At 45.8% G+C, this 6,659-nt stretch overlaps 1 annotated feature.

The window, feature by feature from the left end:
* Positions 510-1,063: an enhancer, noted in NCBI's record as "OCT4-NANOG-H3K4me1 hESC enhancer chr6:3894715-3895268 (GRCh37/hg19 assembly coordinates)". NCBI's record gives its function as "activates a minimal SCP1, AML or CMV promoter by ChIP-STARR-seq in primed H9 embryonic stem cells {active_cell/tissue: H9 hESC(primed)}" and the evidence as "EXISTENCE:reporter gene assay evidence [ECO:0000049][PMID:30033119]".

Raw genomic sequence — 6,659 nt, 5'->3', positions numbered from 1 at the left:
GATACAAAGAAATGTCAACCCCTATCTTGTTTCTCTGAAACAGTTGTGTGTGGACGTCTCACTTAAAACTCCTTCAGCTCCCGTGTAAGCACAGGGAGAAGCTGGAATGCCGGGGGCGGAGGAGCAGAAAGGTGAAAATGATCTGAGTCCTAAGTTTCACATGCGTGAGCCCTGGAGAGCCTTATCTCCTGACTTTTGTTTCAGGAGATGGTCAATTTCCCCTGATGTTTGCTCCGTTGAAGGTGAGTTTCCATTACTTGCAGTTCAACACGTTCTAACTGGCACAGGGTCCTATAGGGTCTACTAGAGGATGTGCCCTGGGCTCCTGGCCCACTTCCCACAGCAGGCTTGAGCTCCTGCAGGCTCATTATCCCAGCACCTGGCACAGGCCTGGCAGCCAGTGGACATTTAGTAAAGAGCTGAGGACGAGGGATGCATACTAGATTATAAATAAAGGGACCTAACCTGTTGGCCATCCACATGAGATGGGCACATAAGGCCTCTGCGGTGCCCTTTCGGAGGCAGCAAAGATACTGGGTGTCTGCGTTCTCAAGCGGCACCAATCTAAAGAAAGCTGCATCTCAACATAAGTTACTAAACACTGGAAGTCAACCGAGTAGAGGCCCAACACTGAATGGCAAATAGCATAATGAAGAGCAAATTAGAACGATTAATAGGAATGCAATCAGAAGCTCTGCAGGAATAATGGAGAATAATAGATCATAAATGAAGTACGGGATTGGCTCGACGGGTGTATTTCCAGCCCAGCAGGCAGCATGCTATATTCATGCTTCACAGCGACAATAGCAAAGAAAATAGATGTGATTTTACAAAACAATGGGCCTAACTAAGCACGCATATTTAGTTCTCTTCAAAAAGGAGGAGGGAGCCACAGCTGACAAACAATTTGATCTTCTCTCCATTTCCAGCTGGAGATTTTAGAATGAAGCAAAAATGAATTTTTATCTTTTTCAGGTTAACTTTGTAAAAATTGCTTTTATTTCCCAGGTTGGGTGGGAATCGTAACAGAAGATGTAACAACTCTAGGTAAAAAGTGTACCATTGTAAGATCTGCTTAGTAAGTTTCATCAAGTAGTAAGCATGCCATTGATATTATTTGCTTTTCAGATAAAATATCAAAAGAAAATGTATGGAAGTCTAATTTATAGACACTGTAGCTTTGCAACCATAAATAAAACTCGAGTAGGGCACAGAGATAACAAAACCAAACACACAGAATCTTGGCTTTCATGCAGGCTATGGAATGAACTCTGCCAAGAAGAAAAAATCAAGCACTACCTTCTCCCAATAGTGGTTCTTTTTTATTTAAAAATAAATGATGTAAGCAAGTTTGTTCAAGATAGATTTTGAGACCTGCAGGAAACCTGGGGAATGCTGGGCCCCAGAGTCTGAAGATCATTTCTCCTGCTCCTGACTAGCTCATCTCTGCTCTGCTGGGAGGCAGGTCCTGCCGTCGCTATGGAGCAGGTCTGGAGGGCTCCTCACTGGAGGAAGAATATCATGGGTGGCCAGAATTCTGACCTCTGGAAGCCTGATGCCTGAAAATTATACCCCGGGGACCCACTGATTTTGTGAGTTGCCTGGTTGGTTGGAAAAAATTATTTGACTCTGGTTGACAGAAAGTAGCAGTGAGAGGTGAAGCCAACTGGGCTTCTGGGTCAGGTGGGGACTTGGAGAACTTTTCTGTCTAGCCAGAGGATAGTAAATGCACCAATCAGCGCTCTGTATCTAGCTAGAGGATTATAAATGCACCAATCAGCATTCTGTAAAAATGGACCAATCAGCACTCTGTAAAATGGACCAATCAGCAGGACATGGGCGGGGGCCACATAAGGGAATAAACGCTGGTCACCAGAGCCAGCAGCAGCAACCTACTTGGGTACCGCTTTCGTGCTGTGGAATATTTGTTCTTTTGCTCTTAGCAGTAAATCTTGCTGCTGCTGACTCTTTGGGCCCGTACCACCCGTAAGAGCTACTCACCGAGAAGATCCCCGGCTTAATTCTTGAAGTCAGCCAGAGTGAGAACCCACCGGAAGGAGCCAACTGTGGACACACCAGGGTTATGAGACCAGACTGCCAGCTTGGGCCTGTGCTTGGTTCCACCAGTCGTGTGACTTTAGATAAGTTGCTTAAACTCTCTGAGCTTTAAATATGTATATGTAAACTGGGATTAATAAATAATACATCTTAGGGGTGGTGTTAAGATTAAATGAGTTAATACTGATTGTATAGCACCTAGAATAATGCTCAGCACATAGCATGTACTTAGACTTCACCTGTCGTTCTTTTAGTCTGTTTTACGGCAAATCCAAGAAGCATTCTCGTGTAGGAGTGTCAGAGCCACACGGATGTTTACACCTGCGTCGGGGCTGTAGCCCTCATGCCACAGCTGATCGGCACAGAAGCGGATGGAAGGGGATGTCTGTGGCGTCACCCTCTTGAAGATTGATCATTTTACTGCCTAGATAAAAAGTGAGACAAACCACAGTAGAAACTGTCAACTCTTGCTTACTAGCCAGGACAGTGTGTTAAGTAGCCGAAGCCCTCCCCAAGACTGGCCTAAAACAGACGAGGTTCATTTTTCTCACGAAAGGAGTCTCTAGGAGGGCAGGCCAGAACTTTTGCAGCTGCTCCAAGAGGCCTCAGGGACCGAGTCTCACTGTGTGTTTTCCTCCTCTCATCCTGAGCTGGTTGGATTTCCTTTCCATATTTTCTCTCTCACGGTCACAAGATAGCTACTGTTTTGCCAATAGTGACAATTGCATTCCAGGCAGAAAGAAATGGAGAGTGTACAGGGGAAAAATAAAGTGCTTTCCTATAGAAGGGTATTGCCCTTTCTGGGGAGGGACAGCCACTCTAGGGGTTTCCACCTGCATCTTACTAGATAGAATTGTCGTATTCTCCCCCATCCCCCCCAGCCCCTGGCTGCAAGAGGCTGAGAAATGGAGGATTTTGGTTTTTCAGCTTCTAGAGCAAAGAAAGGCAAAGGGGGAAAAGGGTGGGAGTGATTTTAGGGATACAATCTACAGAATTGACCACACGTGACAATGCCGCAGAGGAATATTCCTGCCTGGATTCGATTTTTGAGTCACTAAAACATTGCTTAACCTTTTACCACCAAGAACTTTCTGGGTGGAAATGGTTTCTGTCCTAGAAAATGGGCTAATAGTGTTGTCTTCGGGAGCCCAGCATGGAATCCTGACATGAAAGAACGTATTTCCTCTTGCAATTTTATTCCCCAGTGAAAGATTAGGCTTCAAATACAAATTCCCTTGAACTGGACAATACAGGAAGTTAAATTTAGACCTAACAGAGTAACTTCTAGAGCAGAAAATGTCCTGAGACAGGTATTCAGTGAGAAGAGCTGCACTAAGAACAGGTGTGGAGGCAGTTTGGCCTTAACAGCAAAATCTGCTGCTCCGCAATGTTGCCCAACCAGGGCATTTTTGTCAACTCGGCGCTAATGTGGATTTATTTTAGGAAACTAAAGACAGTCATTTATCACAAAAAGTAGGTTAAAAACAAAAGAAGCCCTTTGTTCAAACCAAGTCTTCCAGGTCACCCTGGTGTATCTAACAGCTAAGGGTCTGGCTGTAGTGGCCACTGCAGGGCCAGGGCTGCCTTCCCCTCTCCCCTGCCTTCCACATCAACTCTGGGTTCTGGATGTTTCTGTTTTTTGGGGTTGGCATCAGTAGTGAGCACAGCTTATGTGCAGGTACAAAGTGTTTTAAAAGATTTTTTTTTCCAACAGTTTTTCACAAGAACTCTTTCTTTTTTCTTTTTTTTTTGTAATGGACTCTTGCTCTGTCACCCGGGCTGGAGTGCAGTGGTGCGATCTTGGCTCACTGCAACCTCTGCCTCCTGGGATCAAGTGATTCTCCTGTCTCAGCCTCCTGAGTAGCTGGGATTGCAGACACATGCCATCACGCCTGGCTAATTTTTGTATTTTTAGTAGAGACAGGGTTTTGCTATGTTGGCCAGGCTGGTTTGGAACTCCTGACCTCAAGTGATCCACCCACCTTGGCCTCCCAAAGTGCTGGGATTACAGGCATGAGGCACCGTGCTCAGCCCACAAGAACTATTTTTATTGTCAGTAAGTGGAAGAAGTGATGAGTGATTTATTTGTGTTTCCCTGGGGTCACAGGGTCCAGGGTGATGTGCTGCAGGACTTAGAACTCACACGCTGCAAACTTGTTGCCTTCCCTCTGAAACAGAGGCCCCAAATTTGGTGCACATGTGCATCAGCGAGCACTTCTTCAAAATGCAGATTTGGGGCCTGACTCTGGCTATTTGGCTTCAAAATTCTTGGATGGGACCTGGAAATCTGCATCTTCCACAAGGAGCCCAGGCGGCCTTTATTGATGTGGAGCAGAAACCACACTTTTGAGAAACCTTGTTCTCTAGCCTGGTGTCTTAGTCCATCTGTGCTGCTATAACAAAATATCTGAGACTGGGTAATTTACAAATAATAGAAATTTACTTCTGCCAGTTCTGGAGGCTGGGAAACCCAAGATCAAGGCATCAGCAGATCTGATGCCTGGTGAGGGCTGCTCTCTGCTTCCAGGGTGGCACCTTGTTGCTGTGTCCTCACATAGTGGAAGAAGAAGGGGCCAAAGGGGATGGGAAGGGTGAATTCTCTCCCTTAAGCTGGTGTGCCCCTTCCACCATGTGAAGACACAGCAAGAATGTGTGAGTAGCCCTCACCGGACACCAGATCCACTGGCACTTTGATCTTGGACTTCCAGCCTCCAGAACTGGGGGAAATAAATGTCTGTTGCTTATAAGCCACCCAGTCTACGGTGCTTTGTTATATGGTGTGGATGGACTAAGATACTCACATGGCGAAGTGGCTTGCACTAGTCAGGCGCAGCTAGAAAAGCAGAGCTGGGATTCAGACTCATGCCTGAATTTTGTTCCAAAACCAGAACTGCGACCTCTTGTTTAGATGGCTTGTGGACTACTCATTGTATTGAGAGTACCGCTTTACTTCCGATTCTGCCCTGTATTTTTACTAAGTGAATACAATCTCAAGGATAACTTCTAGAATTCATCATTGCTTCATTATATTTCCAGTTGCCCCACACTAAATTTATCGGTCCCAATTAAGTCCATATAAAGAGGAGTGTCAGCGGAAGAATAACAAGGTTCATAAATTTGGAAAGGAGAGCTTCATTTCTTATAAAGGGTTGCAGCCTGCCAGGTGGCCATTCTGACAGGCAGGAAGCATAGCCTCCGGCCAGAATCCAGAAACAGACACTTCAAGGGTGGGAAGAATAAGGAATTTATGCTGAACGGGTGGCCAAATATACATATTCAATAAGCTACAGGAGGATCATAAATATTTATGAGAGAGGTAACCTGCGAATGCGCAACCAAGCACGATGCCTCTCTACATTCAAAAAATGGCAGCGTCAACATGATGGGGTTGAGTATTCGCCCTCTGACATCAAAAGATGAAGAGGGAACACAAAAACCCTCTCTGTGCATCCTCCGTAGGCCAGCCGGAACCACTCTGTGGTTGGTGGTCTCTTATCAGGAAGGAATACTGGTGGATTGTTTCGTCCAAACTTCAAAAGAGGTGCAGTGGTAGGTGGTTGGTTGATATCTGGGTGGTCTTTCCAAAGGGCTGGTTTCTGTTTAACCTTAGGGAAGAAAGCCTAAGGGGGGTTAGCAGGGGCCTGTCCGACCTCCCAACGGTCACGGTGGGGAACTCAGTTTTCATTTCCCTGGGATACCCCTGGCCAAGAGGGGATTGGTTCAGTTGGTTGGGAGGCACAGGATTTCATTTTTTTCAGGGTGTTAGTGTGGAAAAAACACAAAAGCTGCAAGTGCGTTTTCCTATTTTCTCACTCAACAACACAACAATCAACACAGATGAAGACTTCTGTGAACAAATGCGGGAGATTTCTCCCCAGCTGCAAACAAGCAAGCAGTTCTTCAGGGGACACCAGCTGGGTGTCCTCTAATTCAACTACAATGCTGTTTACCTGGAGGTCGTGTCAGATCTCACAGTGCTCAGTGTCTGAGGCTGCCATCCTTAACCCCAATCACTAGTCACAATTCTGCGCCTCCGGAACTTCTGACCTATTAGCTTCAAGTTGGGGTTCCCACAATCCCCTCTCTGGGTTTGATTAATTTGCTAGAGTGGCCCGCAGAACTCAGAGAAATACCTTTACCAGTTTACTTAAAGGACATTACAAAGGATACAGAAGAAGAGATGTGTAGGGCAAGGTATGGGGGAAGGGGTTTGCTACCCTCCGGAAACCTCCACCTGATCACCTACCTGGAAGCTCTCCAGATTCTGTTCTTTTGGGCCTTTTATGGACACGTCATTATGTAGGCATGATTGACAAAACCACTGGCCATTGGTAATCAACTTAACCCCCAGCTCCCTCCACTCCTTGGACATTGAGGGTTGGAGCTGGAAGTCCTGAACCTCTAATCCTGCCTTGGTCTTTCTGGAGAACAGACTTTCCTTAAACAGTCTAGGGAGCCCAGCCATCAGTCAATCATTAGCATATGAAAAGACATCATAAAAGTCAATTATAAAAAGACACTTGGAGATTCCCAGGATTTTAGGAGCTGTATGCCAGGAAACGGGATGAAGAACAAATATATATTTCACAATATCTCCCCTT

Source organism: Homo sapiens, chromosome 6, assembly GCF_000001405.40.
Source record: "Homo sapiens chromosome 6, GRCh38.p14 Primary Assembly".
Lineage (NCBI taxonomy): Eukaryota > Metazoa > Chordata > Mammalia > Primates > Hominidae > Homo > Homo sapiens.
Note: the sequence above shows the minus strand (reverse complement) of the source record. Positions and strands in the feature narration are given on the sequence as shown.